The following is an 18,453-nucleotide window of genomic DNA, read 5'->3' on the forward strand; positions in this document are numbered from 1 at the left end:
ATGATCAAAATGACAAACTTTCTGCCTTAATTTGCATGGGCAACTCAATGATGAAATGAGATGGATGAATATTCTCACACATATATGGTGTTTGCAGAGCAGAACTCTGCCGGTGGAGACTGCTGAGCCAGAGAGATGATAGATTTCCAGGATCACTTGTAAGTGCCCTTGACTCATTTTGCCTTGAAACTACCTCTGACTTAAACAAAACCAAATTTCAGAATATAAAAACAGGATTAAAGGATCTCAGCACAGCTCCTTCTCTCTGGCAGTGCCTGTAATAACTGGCATGAATAGTATTCCTTTCCACATCTTGCTAGGGGATCTCTTGGGCACAACTAAATTGATTTTACATTGGAAAGTTGAGAGGAGAATAAAGGTACTAACCAAAATGATCCAAGCAAAACCAAATAAACAATCTAAAAAAATCTAAAACCCCTGAACCTAAATCCTACATTTTTAAGAACTGTCTGAATTAACAAAGGGCTAGGGGAACCTGACATGCATTTTCTTGAAGACTTTGGATACCACTGCTGTTCTCAACTGTGCTTCGCACACTTAACCTTGGATTTCTTCTGACAGGTCCAAATGGGTTGCCCTTCTAGTTCCCAGCGTAACTGTTTCTTGGTACTACTGCAGCAGTGCTCTCCATTCCCCGGTCTGTTCACAGGCCAGCCCAGTCGACACTCTACTTATTAAGCCGTCAATAAAATCAGTACAAGGGCTACTTCACTCAAGCAGCTTTTCCTTCTCTGTCTACCATGAGGATTTTATCTTAAAAGCCTAAGTACTTTATGCCTGCAAATGTGGTATATCCCACTGGTACCAAATCCTTTTTCATCCCTTATTTGAATTGATCCAGTAATTAAAAAGGAGAATCTGTGTTCTTGAATCAATTAACATTCAGGGTAAAACTGATAAGATTCTTAAGCATGAAGCTTTTTATTTTTTTATCCCAAAGAGACACAGTACACCACCACAGAGGAAATAGATGTAGAAAGCAAGTACCCTGCTGCAAGGTGCGATCCAGTAGCCAATGGCCAGGAATGGAAGGCCCAGGGCCACGACCAGCACAACGAGACACTTGATAGCTATGGTCTGCTCCCTTAGGCCTGAGAGGTTCTCATACCAGATCGTCAAGAGCTGCTGCTGGCAGTTGGGATGAGCCACAAACTATTGGGAGAGAGAGAGTTTGAGAAGGGGAGAGAAAGGTAAGTTACCATACCATTGTCAATAGCTCAACTATTAAATACACATGCATCCTAAAGATATTAAAGCATATTTTTTCTAGCATATTGGTACTGGAAGGTTCTGGTAATATTCTTCTTAGCTTTCCCTCCATTTTTCAAAATTGTTTCAGAACTAATAGAAGAATTAGAATGGAAATGAGAAGGTAAAATTGGTGGTGTCCTTAATCACAGTTCTTTTTGATAGAAACCCTCCATGATTCACAGATTTCTCTGTGGAATCTGGGTGACATCTGGCTTCTTTTGTAAAAATGTGTCCCATCTTGCTGTTGGCCAGCTTACTTGCATTCAGTTCAAAATGGAAAAGAAGAAAAGTTACTTGGTTTATTGTAGGCTATAGCTAAAAGAGAAATGTGTGAAGTTTCGCGAGCAACCCCTAAAATGCTACATACAAAAAAATGCATAATGCACCCTTTGTGTAATTATGTACTATTACTGCAAATCTGTAAAAGGCCTGAAAAATAATCAATTGAACTTGCAAGTATTATGCTGGGTCTACACATGCACTTCTTCCAGGAACTGGCACCAAATGCCACTTCCCTCCCGTCCTCTTTTTTATTGCTTCCTGTATCAAAAGGTCAAAAGAACATGACTATTTATCTTCAGCAGTTCTTTAATAAATACAATTCTAATCAGGAAAAATGAGCAAATTATACTTATTTCAGCCCAGCCATTTGATTTTTTTTTTCCCGTTTGATTTTGTTAAGTTATCTGCCTGCATCATTTAGAAGGACTGGGATTTCTTTAAAGCCCTGTTCTTATTCAAGAAGCAGAATGCATTTGTACTCAGGCCCTTGTAAAGGTCCCTATGCCAAAATCTGCCCATTTGTAGCTAGACACACCTTTTTTTGAATGGTCATATGCTCTTTGTCCAAGCTCAGGAATTCAAAAATCAACTATGAGTGACAACATATTTTTTAAAGGAGTTCTTAGCAACACAAAAATCAAGGTGTCACTGTCTTCTAAAAAACAGAATAAGCAATAACAATGAACCTGTTAAGAAACACCCATGAAATGTTTTTGGGAACTGAGAAACAGAGTAGCTGCAGTTCCTACTTGTCAAAAGGTTCCTCTTTGATCAAGTTCTAGTTAATAATCCTGATGATTCTTAGTAACTCCAGGCAATTCCTAGAGTTATTAATATTTGGCTCTTTATCAAAGCCCACCTACAAGGAAATGCACAGGTTTCCACTGACTGGTGCATAGTTTCCCATCAACAATTTTAATTAAAAAAGAAAGTCTCATCTCCCAGGACAGGCGATGTAGGTTCAATTTCCCCCAAATCCCTGCCTTTGCCCCCAGAGTGCACCCAGTGTAAAGTCCACTGATGGCTGCACTGGCAGCTGCCTCCGCATCACCATACATGCGTACTTAACGACCCACAGACAGAGGTGGTGAGAATAAATTTATGAATATTAGATTTGAAATAATTAACTGAGTTATTATGTTGAGATTCTAAGCCTCAATGTGATGGGTATTAGAAAGCTAGGCTTTTGGGAGGTAATTAGATCATGAGGGAGGAGCCTTCATGAATGAGACTGGAGCCCTGATAGGAAGAGGCAGGAGAGCTCGCTCTTTCCACCATGTGAGGATACAATGAGAAGTCAGCAGTCTGCAACCCAGAGGAGAGCCCTCATCAGATCTTCACTATGCTGGCATCCTCATTTTGGATTTCCAGCCTCCAGAACTGTAAGAAATAATTTTTTTTTTTTGAGATGGAGTTTCTCTTTTGTTGCCCAGGCTGGAGTGCAATGGCACAATCTCGTCTCACCACAACCTCCACCTCCCGGGTTCAAGTGATTCTCCTACCTCAGCCTCCCAAGTAGCTAAGATTACAGGCATGTGCCACCATGCCTGGCTAATTTTTTGTATTTTTAGTAGAGACGGGGTTTCTCCATGGCGGTCAGGCTGGTCTCAAACTCTCAACCTCAGGTGATCCGCCCGCCTCAGCCTCTGAAAGTGCTGGGATTACAGGCATGAGCCACCACGCCTGGCCGAGAAATAAATTTCTGTTGTTTATAAACCACCCAGCCTATGGTACTTAGTTACAGCAGCCTGAACTAAGAAGCATATTTTATCATGCGAGTTCCTTTCCATTCAGTTTTCAAAATCCCAGGTCCTGATTTTCAGTAGCTGCTAGTTGCTAAGGATGTATTAGATCTTCTCTCCAAACCCAGGATTTTGTCACTTTTCCAAGGTTCTAAGTTTTGAAAACAGCATTTCATAGACCAATGCAATCATTATTTGAACTCACGAATATCAAAGTTGAAGGCTTCCTGGGTATATGTGACAACTTTCTAGGATTCTTGTTGAGAACTTCTCCAAACTTCCACTTCTGCTCCTGTACTATATTTAGATCATTTCCTTCCTGCTTCACCTCTCCCTCTATGGTCCCTAAATGTCCTTCATTCATTCATTCATTTATTCACTCATCAAAATGTCTTAAGCCCCTCCTATGATCCAGGCAGTATATTGGGCAAGTGTATTGGTACAAGAAGATAAAAATGGAAGCATCAGAGTTGAATTAAGTGATAAGAGGTCATTGTTCTAGGGTACACAGTAAGCTTTGAATAGACACAAAATAAGCTATTATAACTGAGACTTCAACTCATAGGCTTGTCAAGATGCCTAATCAGAATTTAAAAGAGTCTTAATTTGAATGTTGGTACAAGTATCTTGATATTTGGAGGATCTGCATTTGTGGGAAGTTAGACAGATATAAATAAAAGGCATCCCTGGTGGCTGCAGCCAGGCTAAGCTTAGGACAGATAATGGTGCATTCAGGGTAAACTACAGGTGGAGCATATAATGTCATTAAATCAGATTACCACTTAGGAAATCAACAATGTAGTTTTTAGACCAACAGTTTCTGTAGGAAACAAAATTCCCATGAAGTTAAGAGACAGGTGGGCATGTGTCTATATGGAATTGATGGACAAATTTCCCTTTTGTGAGTGTCTGGTAGCTATCGTTTGAATGTGTCTCCTCCAACATTCAGGTGCTGTCAATGTGGTAGAGTTAACAGGTGGGGCCTTCAAGAGGTGATTAGGCCATGAGGGCTGCTCCCTTGTTAATGGTATTAAGACGCCTATAAAAAAGACTTCATGCAGCATTCAGCTAGCTTGCTCTTCTACTCTTCTGCCATGTGAGGACGTAGTGTTCCTCCCCTCTAGAGGATGCAGCCCTCACCAGACTACCAAACCTGCTGGTGCCTTGATCTTGGACTTCCCAGCCTCCAGAACTATGAGACAAGAAAGTTTTGTTCTTATAAGTCTCTCCATCTCAGGCATTCTATTGTAACAACACAAACGGACTAAGGCACTAGTCGTTCTTAGGTTTTAAACTCTTGAGGACAGAAATATTAATGTTATAGCATATCTCCCTTTCCTACTCCTCCTCCTTGGACTAATTTTTAAATTTGAAGATGTGCTTTATGTCATTAATTACATATTTATAAAGATTGCACAGCTTCAAAGACTTGATGGACTCAATCCTTCCCATATGGCATATATGTGATGGTCAATCTTTGACTTGATGTAACCTGTACTACAGTGCAAACACTTACTCTACATTAAGTAGTAACCAAAATTGTGGGTGTTTGCATTTTGCCTGTTACACTTTAAAATTCAGCTTAACAGGTCTATTTCCTATGCTTCTAATTCTACTCTTTTTTTTGAGATAATTATACACGACTTCATGGATTCTGTCGATTCCATTTAATCCACACAAACAGATTTTCCTCCAATGATGTAAAATCCTAATGCAAGTACACAAGGAGCATTTCAAAAAAGAAAGTAAAGCCAGTACAATAATAGCAAGTGAAGGCAAAAAAGCTAATCCCTTTAGGAGATGAGTTTTGGTCTTTTCAATGACTTCGAAATAGGGCAGTGACCTTTATACCTGAAAAGTGTTTTACCTCCTGAAAAATCTCCTTATGTCACTACACCAGTTATGCCCAACTGGATAACATTTGTATGCTGTTTCCTAACTTCAGTGGACCAGCAAATTGAAGTCATAACAAAAATAATACCCTTATTTTGAGTTTTCTGATTCAAAGAGAGAATGCTTGACACAAGAAAATCTCAATCTTTCAATTGGACAATCAGCATTGAGAACAACTGAAATGTTTTTTCTTGCCAAATAACTAATAGATTATAAACTGAACCACTGATCAGGGCAGGCTAGGGAAAACAATCAAATTTTAAACTTAAAAATTAATTCATGTTACACTGTTTTTCATCAAATCAGCCTTCACAAGAACTGTCTTCATGGGAATACTGTTGTGTAAAATCATGGTAGGAACTCTGGATTTGTTTTTAATGATACTGTTAGAGCCACAATTCATACAATTTAAAGGAACATATTCTTGTAAATAAAAACTAGGCAATTCAACTTCTTTTAAAAACTCAATGACTTGTGAAATATAAACCTAAAACTTATATTGCACAGGTTTTCTGGATTTTCAAACTTGCTGAGTGCAAAATGCTCTGTTATCTCTTGGTGCCTGGGGAAGACCAGGACAAGAGGCCACACAGTGCAGGACACAGGACTGTGCCGGCCAGCACACCCGTTCCAACGTCTCAGTGGTGTATTTACCACTCTCTCATTGCATTTCTTTAATTCTGGGCTTCCCCTGCACACTTTTTGCACAGAAAGTGGATACACAATGGATGCTTTTATCCTGTTTATACTGCTGCATGTTTCTTTTTAGGATGGCTTTTCTACATTTAAATCTAATCCTACTATGGAGGAAATATTAATAGGAGAGCAGAAACGAAGAACTCAGGAAATGTTCTCCTTCTCTTTCTGAGAGCCCAGTTTTCCAGATTCAGTGGTCTACCAAGCTCTAGTATCTTTTGTCAAAAACTTTCTCAAAATAGACATAGCTCACGGTGAAGTAGGTAGAACTTTGGTTATTTCTATGGTGGGGAGTGGATTAATGTTCAGCTGCACATCACAGAGCAGGATAGAGGTAGAGTCAGAATTAGAACTCAAGACTTTTGGTGGGGGGCAAATAGTCCATTATTCTAATTAAACAAAATTAGTGTTTTTGCCTAAAATTTAATTTTCTTGTACCCATTTTCAGAAAATCAAATTTCATCTTCCAGTGTATTCCATTCTCTTTTCAAAGAATAATATAGGTATTTCTATAAATAGTAATAGTGTTCACTATCCTTCCAGTTTTAAAATTTACCTTACAGACCCCTTAAAAATGATTTTAGGCTGGACGCAGTGGCTCACACCTATAATCCTAGCACTCTGAGAGGCTGAGGTGGGCGGATCACTTGAGGTCAGGAGTTCAAGACCAGCCTGGCCAACATGGTAAAACCCCGTCTCTACTAAAAAAACAAAAAATTAGCCAGGCATGGATGATGGGTGCCTGTAATCCCAGCTACTCGGGAGGCTGAGGCAGGAAAATTGCTTGAACCTGGGAGGTGGAGGTTGCAGTGAGCCAAGATCTCGCCACTGCACTCAAGCCTGGGAGACAGAGTGAGACTCCATTTCAAAAAAAAGAAAAAAAAACAGATTTTAGGATGAATAATCTTCAAAATCCATTCCCTGTTAGTAAAGATGCAGGCAGATGGTTGCTCTTTTACTATCAGCATTGAGAATTGTAAATTTTTATTCTTTGTTAGTTTAAGAGAAGGAAAATGGTATTTGTACATTAGTATACGTTTATCACTAAAAGGTCTGAAAATTTTAAATATGCATGTTAGCCATTTGAATTTTCTCTTCTGTGACATGCCTATTCAAATCTTTTGCTGATTTTTCTACAGGGCCCTGGATGTTTTCCTTACAAATTTGTTTGAGTTCTTGGGATATTAAGAAGATCAATCTTTTGTGAGATACAATCGAAAAAACATTTTTCCTAGTATGCCCTTCACTTTTTTGTTTATAATCTTTCTGATGTCATACAGAGGTTTTAAATTATATGTGGCCAGATTATTTGCATTTTTGCTTGGAGATTTCTTCGCTTTTATATGAGAAAGTCCTTTCCAACATAAACATTAAATTCACGGTCATGTATCTCCTATTCTGGTGTTTTATATATTCATTTTCTGGATTAACTGTCCTTGAGTTCTGTAAGGCCTGTGTTGAACTCATGCCTTGATTTCTAGGAAAGACCAGATCTCTGGGAATCCTGAGCCCAGTTAGAAGACAATAGACTCAGAACCAGAGCTGGGAGTAGGTCTTGGGCAGAGGGTAGAAAAAAGACTTCCTGGCCGGGCGCGGTGGCTCACGCCTGTAATCCCAGCACTTTGGGAGGCCGAGGCGGGCGGATCACGAGGTCAGGAGATCGAGACCATCCCGGCTAAAACGGTGAAACCCCGTCTCTACTAAAAATACAAAAAATTAGCCGGGCGTAGTGGCGGGCGCCTGTAGTCCCAGCTACTTGGGAGGCTGAGGCAGGAGAATGGCGTGAACCCGGGAGGCGGAGCTTGCAGTGAGCCGAGATCGCGCCACTGCACTCCAGCCTGGGCGACAGAGCGAGACTCCGTCTCAAAAAAAAAAAAAAAAAAAAAAAGACTTCCTGAGTCTCATATGCGGCCAATATTGGCTTACAATTAGATAAGAATGGTTTCCTTGGTGGAATTATGGGTTGATTTGAATAAATATGAGTTTATTATGTTATCAGGGGGTGGGGGAGTCCATAACATATAAAGTTACTTTGAAATCCCAATGGCTTGCATATGGCTGTGGACTACCTCTGTGCCAGAGTGGGCAGGGTTTGTGCATCATTATAACCCAAGACGTGGTTTTGCTTGGAGACTAGAAATGAGATGGTGGGAAAAGGAAGCAGCAGGAGTGGGTGGGGTGATATTTTTCCTCCTGTGAGAATGAAGATGGGTGAGTGTTGACTGAAAACGAAGGAAGCCTTTGTTTTTTGGGTTTTTTTTTGTTTTTTTTTTTTTTTTCGAGTCGGAGTCTCGCTCTGTCGCCCAGGCTGCAGTGCAGTGGCGTGATCTTGGCTCACTACAAGCTCCGCCTTCCGGGTTCATGACATTCTCCTGCCTCAGCCTCCCTAGTAGCTGCAACTACAGGTGCCTGCCACCACGCCCGTCTAATTTTTTTGTATGTTTTTTAGTAGAGACAGGGTTTCACCATGTTAGCCAGGATGGTCTCGATCTCCTGACCTCGTGATCCACCTGCCTCGGCCCCCCAAAGTGCTGGGATTACAGGTGTGAGCCACCGTGCCCGGCCATGAAGGAAGCCTTTGAAAGGAAGAAAGAAAGGAGAAATTGGGGCTTTGCAAGTATTCTAGAATAGAATTCTTACACACATTTATTATTCTAGAACAGAATTCTTACATACATTTATTATTCTAGAATAGAATTCTTACATACAGTTATTGAGTGAAGATTCCAAATCAAAGACTCTAATTAATACTCCTTTTATAGCATAAAACAAACAAAACCAGAAGTTTGCAAAAGTCCTAAATCTCCTTACAGTTCTAACTTTTTTGTTGTTGCCTGATGGTTGACTGATACCAATTTATTACTAACGACACCTCATACTTTGTAACCTACATGCCAATTTATTTAAAATTGACATGCAGGAAGACATAAACTCTGCAAGGCAGTTTAGTTGACTGAAGCACAAGTGTAGATGAGGTGTCTCTGCTCATATAACACTTCCAAAGCAATGATAAAAAACCAGTGACAATTGAAATCAATTCTCTCAGGTGCCAAAGAAAAGAGATACATATTGCAGGATGTGTGAATATATGTCTAGACAATTTTCTAAAAAACAGTTTACTATCAATCTTGCTCAAAACTATCCTTTTCCCTCAATATATTAATAACAAAACCTCAACTAGCAAGAATGCTCTGAGAGGGCAATCTAGCCAATTTAATTATCTTGTAACATACTTTCCTTGAAAAGTTGTTTTATTTCAATCTTTACTGAGAATCTTCACATTTGACTATCTTATGAAGTAGAGAAGAGATCTGCCATTAATGGTTGACCAAAATCTTGCAAATACTATGTGTAGAAGTTTTCTACATTGTGGTAGTAGAATTATGTGTGTCAGAAGAGAGAGAGACAGAGAGGAGGGGAGAGAGAAAGAGGAGAAAGAGACACAGAGAGAGAGAGAGAGATTTCCCCATCCTCACTTGCTGCTAGGGTGCAAACATTGGCTTAGGTTCCACTGATCAGTGGAAGGGGCCATATGAAAACAGGCAGGATGCAGAGCATCCTTTCTATGCTGATATGGGAGCAGCAGAGGCAGAATTGTTCTGTTTGGGCCACAGAAACTCCCTTAACAGGTCAGCACTGTGCCTGGTTCTGGGTGAGGTTTTTGGAAGCACAGCTTAGATAAGCTTGTTCCTCTACCTCCTCTTAGGATTCTGTGAGCTTCCTCAATATCACTTACTAAATTCCTTCCTGCCTAAATCAACTCCTCTTACTAAGGACTTGATTCAGTACAAGGGGCATGAAATCTGTCTTTGACGAGTGAGGATTAACTAGCTTAAGAGTCATCACTCTGGGTATGAATTTTCATAATGTAGAAATGTTATTATTAATAGCTAATACTTATTGAGAAATACTTATTGAGAAATCACCATGTACTACTGTGTGCTAATCACATGCATTATCTCATGCAATCCTTAAACAAATGAATAAGTAGGTACAACTATTGTCTTCACTTTACTAGTGAGCAGATGGAGGCTTGGATGGTTAGGTGACTTGCTCATGGTCACACAGGAGCACATGGTGATGTCAGGACATGAATCCTTACAGGTTGGCTCTAGTGCCTGTCCTCTTAAGCACCATGTCACACTGCAGAAAAGACAGAACACTTGGCTCTTTGTAAATTGACCAACTTCATAAAACCAGAGCTGATAACAGTTTATTTCTTTGTGATTTATCAGTTTCTCTTAAAGTACAAGAAAGTCTGTTATATAACATGTATAAAGTATTGGATTCTGGATAACTGAGATATTTATTATTGTGAAACATAACTACAATTTTTGTGAATTATTTAAAAGCCCCATACAAGTTAGCAAATAGATACACATAACAGTTTTTCTGCAATAATCAGAGTAAAAAAATCATAATTTTTATTTCTGGCACCTGCATGACCAACTCCTTAGTTATGTGACCTTAGACATGTCATTGAAGCTTGGCAATCCTCAGTTTCCTTGTAGAATAGAAACCCCATCATCTATCTGATGTATTTTATAGATAAAATGAATAATAACATAGACTTGCTGCAAGGATTCACATAACAATGTAAAAATGCCTTACAAAAATGTATACAAGTAACAGCATTATTAATTGTATTGTAATTAACAGTTTACAGAGTGCTTTTGCATATCTTAACTCATTTAAATTCCACCAAAACCCTGAGATAGATAAGAGATATTATCCTCCTTGTACATGAGGGAACTGAAATTTAAAAATTTATGACTTATTCAAGGTCCCACCATGGGTAAAAAGTAGAAAGGATCAGAAGCTACACATTTAACTTGCAACTTTACCCCCCACAAAAAACTCTTTTATCAATAGCATCTATTTTTTTATTTTATTTTTTGAGACAAGGTCTTGCTTGCTCTGTTGCCCAGGCTGGAATGCAGTGGTGCTATCATTGCTCACTGCAGCTTCAAATCTCCTGGGCTCAAGTGATCTTCCTGCCTCAGCCTCCTGAGTAGCTGGAACTACAGGCACGTGCCACCATGCCTGGCTAATTTTTAAATTTTTAGTAGAGACAGGGTCTCGCTATGTTGCCCAGCTGGTCTTGAACGCCTGGCCTCAAGTGATCCTCCTGCTTCAGCCTCCCAAAGCGCTGGGATTACAGGCCCCAAAGTGCTGGGATTACAGGCACATGCCATCATGCCCAGCTAATTTTGTTTCTTTTTTGTACAGACACAGTCTCATTATGTTGCCCAGCCTACTAGCGTCTAGTCTTATTATTTTAATAATTTTCCTAGGATTATGGCATAGTTTGTATCACATGTTTATTCTAATATGGCACTAGATGAAAGTAGGCCCACTCACCTTTTTGACTTCATACTTAATGGCAAGTTTGACACGACTTAATGAAGCTTTGTGCCTGTGTACCTCCAGAGGCTCTGCTGATTCCAGATCTCCATTCAGAATGGCTTCTACCTCTTCTGAGTCTCGGCAGAGATCCAGCACACCCACTACAAAGTCTTTGCATTGCATGGAGAGCTTCCGATAGTCATTCTAAGAACAAGAGGTTTAGTGTTTTAACACAAATAATTTGCTTTTATTCAGTGGAAAGTATTTGGGTGAATTAGAAAAAGGTATCCCTTCTTTTGGGGGTAGAAAGCTGCAGCCCACCTGGATGCAAGGCTTGTTGAGCTGAATACAGGCTGGATTTGCACCCACCCAACCCTTTAGCCAGGTTTCCTTCTGCTGCAACCAGCCCAACCATCCGAGATATTTCTGAAAATGGCATGATTATAATCTCACTTATATGTGGAATCTAAAAAAGTCATACTCAGAGAATAGAAAAGTGGCTACCAGAGGCAGGGGGCGGGAGTAGGAGGTAGGGTGAAGTAGAGATGGAATGAGGAGATATTGGTCAAAGTGAACAAAGTTTCATTTAGACAGAAGAAATAAGTTTTTGAGATCTATCTGCACGGCACAGTGACTATAGCTTTAATACTGTACTATATACTTCAAAATTGATGAGTAAATTTCAAATGTCTCACTACCACAAAAAGTAACGTGAGGTGACAGATATGTTAATTAGCTTGATTTAATCATTTCACATTGTATACATACATCGAAGCATCCCATGGTACCCATGGTACCCCATAAATATATACAATAATTATTTGTCAATTAAAAACTTTAAAAAGCATTTACTCAAAAAAGTATATGCCAAAAGACCAAAGGATCAAAGAGTTTTCTCTCTTTTGTACAAACAATAGTTCTTGTAAAGCCAAAACAAGACCATTTCTACATTGGAAATTTTTCTATAATGGCAATTTTTCTAAAATGGCAATTTGATGTAGAAGATCAACTATATGTGATATGAAAGTTGTCAAAACTAAGTCAACTGTGTTAAAAACACCACAAAACAAAAAAACCCTGACTAATAGAGTCAGAGAAGGCCACGAAGGGAGGGTTCTCACACATAAAACTATCACAAAAGACTGCAAAAACCATAACCTTGCATAAAGGCCATGGCAACCTTACACAAAAAATACCTCCGTGAGGACATCTGCCCAGCAACTGCCTGTACAACTTTGGACTGGCTCCGCCTTTGTTATTGTTCCGGGAGTGTAACCCTCCTCACTTTTCCTTTAAAAACCTTGTCTTTCTTTACCTCCCTGAATACACACATAGTTTACCATGTCACTTGTATTTCCACTGCAATGTTATATTCCCAAATAAATATGATTTTCTATTTTTTTGTTTTCTTTTTTTTTTTTTTAGATGGAGTCTTGCTCTGTCATCCAGGCTGGAGTACAGTGGCACGATCTTGGCTCACTGCAACCTCCGCCTCCTGGGTTCAAGCAATTCTCCTACCTCAGCCTCCCGAGTAGCTGGGATTATAGGCATGTGCCACCACACCCGGCTATCTTTTGTATTTTCAGTAGAGATGGGGTTTCACCATATTGGCCAGACTGGTCTTGAACTCCTGACCTCAAATGATCCACCCACCTGGGCCTCCCAAAGTGCTGGGATTACAGGCATGAGTCACCGCACCCGGCCTCATTTTCTTTTAGAGAACCTCTCTCTCTGTTATTTAGGTTGACAGTGAAAAATAACTTGTCCAGTTCATTATCCCTTGCCTTACTGGAGACATTGCTTCTCAAAGTGTAGTCCTCAGACCAGCAGCATCAGCAGCACCTGGGCATGTGTTAGAAATGCAAATTCTCAGACCCCAGCCCACATGTCCTGATTTAGAAACTGAGGAAGGGCCCAGCAATCTCTGTGTGTTTTCACACACCCTTCAGATGATTCTGATACATGTTAAGTTTGAGAATAACTGGTTTATAGCGAATGTAGAGAGGTAGATGGATACCCACCTGTATACAGAGGGTTTTTTGTTTGTTTGTTTGTCTGAAGGGCATATTACTGTGCCCTGCAGAACTAGAAGAAGAGAAATATATCACTGTATGTAACTGAATTCTCAAGGGTTACAGAATTCAGTACCTGAGAGAAAAATTTCCAGGCCACTGGAACTAACACATTGCTAAAAATAATCCGTGAATCTTTAATTTCATTTGCATATTTATACACTGCCATGGACTGCCATAAGGAAGTCAGCTGGTAGCATTCCTTGTTGCCTTCTGAATGGAGCTTTATTTCTAGTCCATTTGTTCTAATGAAGGTGTCAATGACCATCTCCTGAGAAAGTATCTCATTTTTGGAGACTCCAGTTCTACTTTTATGACTTTCACTAAAATTCTAGCCTATTAGGAAAGGTAACCAGATAATAATCTAATGTGAAATGCTTGAGGAAAACAGAATTTCCCATTGTAACATGTCCTGAGACATTGTATGTGTCCATATTACTAAGTAATATTTGGCTCAGCAGAATTACTGGGCTTCCAAAAATCATACTTTAAAAAAGACATGTGAAAAATTTCAATTTTTTTCCTTTAAATAATTAACGTGATTTGATGAGCAAAACCACGTCATCAGCTAAAATAAACAAGAAGAAGAGAGACTGTTTAAAGGCTACACAGATTAGAATAGTTTCCATTTCAGATATGAGAAATTCAGATAAAGAACAGTTACAGTTAATCCTTTTCCCTTCGTAAGGGAACAGATAAAATGAATAAAACTTCAATCTTTAGTTTCCATTCAAGTTGGTACCATGCAACTGATAAAATTAATAAAATGTTCAGTCTCTGGTTTCTGTGCAGAGTGTCAGTTAAATATCCATCTGCTTTCCATTCCTGAAAGACTAATGAAACATTTTATTATAGCATCCAGAAGAAGTATTAAATCCATGCCTGTTTCCATATAAAGCTTCCCTTTTAATATAATTTTTTTAGATGAAATTTCCTCATGTTATTCTTCAGTTCAGACTGTTCTGTAAGATTTGGTACAACATAGGGTGGTTATTTCTCCACTGATCAGAAATAAAAAGAGGCTACCTTCCGTGCTTTGAAGAACACTTAGTACCCACATCTGTAGTAATACCTAAATAATGACTCATTACCTATAAAATTATAGTCTATAAACTGTTTAGTTTTAAGGAAAGCTTTTTTCACATCCACTGAAAGATCAATAAAGATAAAAAAACTGATAATCAAACATGTTGCAAGGACAGCACTACTTGTTTTTATAACAATTTAAACATTTCCCACTTGAAGAAGTCTGTTGCCAGAGTGCAGAAAATAATCAGAGCTGGAGATAATGGTGATTTCTTTTGTTATAGTCATTGGATACCATTTTTTAAACCTATGCAGAGTTCCGTGGGAAAGATGGAGAACTCCAGCTAAGAACAGCCTCTCTTCAGCTGCAAAAGCAACCATCTATGTAAAGTTCACATTGACTGTTAGTTCCACCTTGAGGCCGCATTGACTGTTAATTCCACCACGTTACTTCACAGATCAGACCATTTGTCTGGTCTACATTTTCTAATAAGTTTATCTTAAGTTAGTTTTGCATAATGGTCTTTAATATACTGCTCATCTATTACCACAGCCCTCCACAGTTAGCTGGTGGACCTACTGCACACCTTATAGAGCAGAACTTAAAACCCTAAGGATCTGCTCAAGCCAGAGGAAGAACAATGAAGTTCAGTCTTCATCACAATCTATCTACAGGTTCTGCACACTCCTTTTAATGTATATGTTTAATTACCATTCTAATCCTTTTTTATCCTGAAGTGGAAAACTGAAATTCAACTCTTAACAGGCTTGGTTCTGTCAGGCTCTTTCCCTAATAACAAAAGAGGCAAGTTATCATACTGATTAAAAGCATAGAGTCTGAAGCCAGACTTCCTGGGTTCAAATACTGCTTTACCACCTACTAGCTGTGTGATATTGTGGAATTCACTTTACCTCTCTGACATGAATAATCCTACCCAATATTGGTACTATGAGGATTAAATGCTTAGAATGTGTTTGGTACAAATTAGGTGCTAAGAAGTGCTTCAATATTACCAGGTACATTATATTAGATATAATACCTACGACTGGGACTCAAGACACTCAAATCTAGGCTTAACATATGAAATGTTGCCTACAGCCTTTGTTTTCTCTTTTACAAAGTGAAAGATGATTCCTAGAGTATTTTCCTGCTATAAAATGTCACCTTGCTTTTGGATTATATTCATTTTTTTTCTTCCTTACAGCTGTAGTGTGATATAAGGTGAAATTGTTTTTTTACTTTAAGGAGAGGAAAACTGAGGCACAGGGAAGCAAACGCCTCTCCCTACTTCTTTATTTTTACAAAAAAGGTGCGTCATTGACTCAGTCAGAACTAGAAAATTTCAGTTTGCGTCCTCACAGCTTAATAAATGACTGGCTTCCTTGCCACTGACATTTTGGAGGATTAGACCAAGAGTCTATCTTTCCAATATTCTGTTTCTCAGAATAGCTTCAAACAGCATTTGCACATCCAAAATATTTCTTTAATAACCTGTCACCGAGCTATCCTCCATTAATTTATCTAAATCTGTATCCTAGAATATTTGACCTCTTAGGGTATTGACCTTCACATGTTTTAAACACCATACCTACTGTATTCCTCAAAGAAATGTGAAAACTGCAGAGTGGCTGAGAATCTTCTCTGAAGCATCTAAATAATGGCAATTTCGGGGGTGAGATACTAGATATTATAGGCCATTGATAAGATAAAATAAATATAGGTGTCTTAAAAGGAAAAAAAATCACCTCTTTTTCACTAGGAAAAAATTTTTTTTTTTAATTTCAAGGCTAATACTTTGAGCTCAAAGTCCCCATGGGAAGAATATAGCGAACACCATGGAATAGGGCAAATTAGGTTACCTGCTTGTCTCAGAAATGAGCTTCACTTTTGCTGCCCTTTCAGAGCTCAGAGTCTCAGGGTCAGTGCTATGAAAGCACTATTTTCTCTGTCTGTCTAAAGCCCTGACAGACGGACATGAACATGGGATAAGAGGGGAGAAAGGTGAAAGAAAGGCAGATAAGAAAGGAATAACAAGGACAGGTAAAAATGAGAAAGAAAAGGCACATTGAGTTAGGGGAGAGAGACATGAAGTCCTTGGAGACTATAATTTCTAAAGAACTGTCCTAATTTTGGCTCAGAGAGGGCTATCTTGCTACACAAGCACTTTCCATATAATCTAGAAAAAAGAACTGGGAGATTTAGATGATTTTTGCTTAACCTTATAGATATTTGGCAGCTTTATGGATGTTCTCTAGAATTCAACTGTGTTTTCTCTCTTTTTGCCTCTTTATTTGTGATATTTCCCCACCCCTGAAAGGTTATCAGAGGTGACCCTTTAAGTCAGAATAAGGGAGATTCTAAGCATTACCAATATGGACTTAGTCAGCTTCAGGGTAAAACTATGAATAACAAATTCTCTTACCATGGTTGCACTGAGCTGACGACTCTGGGTGGAATTGCAAACATCACCATCTTTAGTAAATTATTAAAACACGACCTTAGAAAATATTCCCTTTTATAGAATCTCTTGCAGACTTTCAGTATATATCAAGAAAAATGTGTAAAAACAAGATTTGTGTGGCATTTGAAATAGTGGCAAATAAATATGTTTAGAATTATGTTTTAATTACTGTTTCAAAACAACAAAGTGATATTTACAAGTGCTTTACCTAAATGCTTTTCTACTGTCTCTAAACGGAATTTGGAGTTTTCAACTTGCTCTGAGATCTAAAAAAAAAAAAAAAAAAAAAAACATTTTGGGTCCAAGTAAATAAATCTTTTCAAATACCACATAATGAATCTCTTCAAAGGGGTTAGATATAAGGTAAGACTTACTTTCTTCTTTGTATTTTCCCTTTTTTGGAAAATGCTTACAATAAATGTGTGTAGCTTTTACATCAGAAAAATATTTTAATGGGTTAACAAAATTACAGTAAGTCCAGATCTCCACTGGGACAAAATGAGCATTGATGGATATCCAGGGAATTTTGTGTGTATGGAAAAGGGATGGGACCACTTTCCCACCATTTTCTTGCAACACCGGGGCAAAGTATATTTTCTGTATCCTGAATTATATTGCTAGTTGCATTTGTGTAAATCTCACTAACTATAAAAACCATATTCAGATGTGAAAGAATAATCACTTTTTCTGTGATCTGACACCATAACACTAAACTAAAAAGATTAACTTAGCATCTAGAAAATAATTCAAGGAATTGATGTCTACAATCGTCTTTTTAGATGGGAAATGGGAGACAAGAAGCTGCCAAAAACAGTCTAAATAATATTGATCGGAACTATGAAATACCCAGATTTAGTAGCTAGAACCAATCAAAACGCATAGGAGGAGGTAGCAACTGATTAAAAAATAAAATGATCTGTCATTAATATATAATTTTTATACAAATAAATAATACTGCTTGATTGAAAATAATATCCAGAAAAAAAGTTCACTTATTAAAAAAAATCTCTTAAAGCAAATCACTTTGCTGTCCTCATATTTCTAGATTGAACTGACATCTACGGCTCACCACTCTGAATATACATTTGTGGAATTCAGGGAGAGGCATTTTGTCATATCAGTGAAGTGACTTTAATAGTATTTTTTATTGGTCTTTTGACTTTTGATTCTAAAGGGATACACAAATGCTTGGGCCAATGAACAGTGCATCCAAAACTAACACTATCGTGGAGATGGAATAGGAGCTTGCTCTGTCCAGTCCACCACACACCTAGTATTGCAGGACATCCAGACACGGTATACTCCCTCAGGGGAAATAAAGCAAACATATTACTTATGTGCTACCATGCAACTAACTACAAAACAGGAGGAAGGATTTGGAAGACAAAAAGTCACACCCAAACCCTCCTTTTAGCAAAAAGGGGAGAAATCTTGAGTTTTATTTAATGCTTACCCAACACAGAGCGGCACCATAATTATAGCTCTCTGATCCAGAATACTGGATCCCCAAAGCGAATTTGTCACAGCACCATCATTGAGAGGGAGAAAGAAAACATTAGATGAGGTCTGAATGACGTTCTCAGTCCCTCGTGATTTCACATTCACTGGGCAAAACCGAATGTGGAGCGAACGGTGGCAGAGCAGGCCAGGCAGCAGCGGGGA

The 18,453-nt window shown here is 38.6% G+C and overlaps 1 protein-coding gene across 8 annotated transcripts in view; it reads right to left on the minus strand.

The window, feature by feature from the left end:
• Positions 1-18,453, minus strand: part of TRPC3 (transient receptor potential cation channel subfamily C member 3) — a 77,580-nt gene that overhangs the window by 39,291 nt on the left and 19,836 nt on the right. For all 8 annotated transcript variants that reach the window (NM_001366479.2, XM_011532218.4, NM_001130698.2 and 5 more), the window contains 2 exons: positions 11,247-11,435; positions 1,009-1,173 (listed from right to left, as the gene is read on the minus strand). In NM_001366479.2, coding sequence (NP_001353408.1) covers positions 1,009-1,173; positions 11,247-11,435 — 354 coding nt within the window. The remainder of the gene's footprint in view (positions 1-1,008; positions 1,174-11,246; positions 11,436-18,453) is intronic.

The sequence above is a fragment of the Homo sapiens genome, chromosome 4 (assembly GCF_000001405.40).
Source record: "Homo sapiens chromosome 4, GRCh38.p14 Primary Assembly".
Classification (NCBI taxonomy): domain Eukaryota; kingdom Metazoa; phylum Chordata; class Mammalia; order Primates; family Hominidae; genus Homo; species Homo sapiens.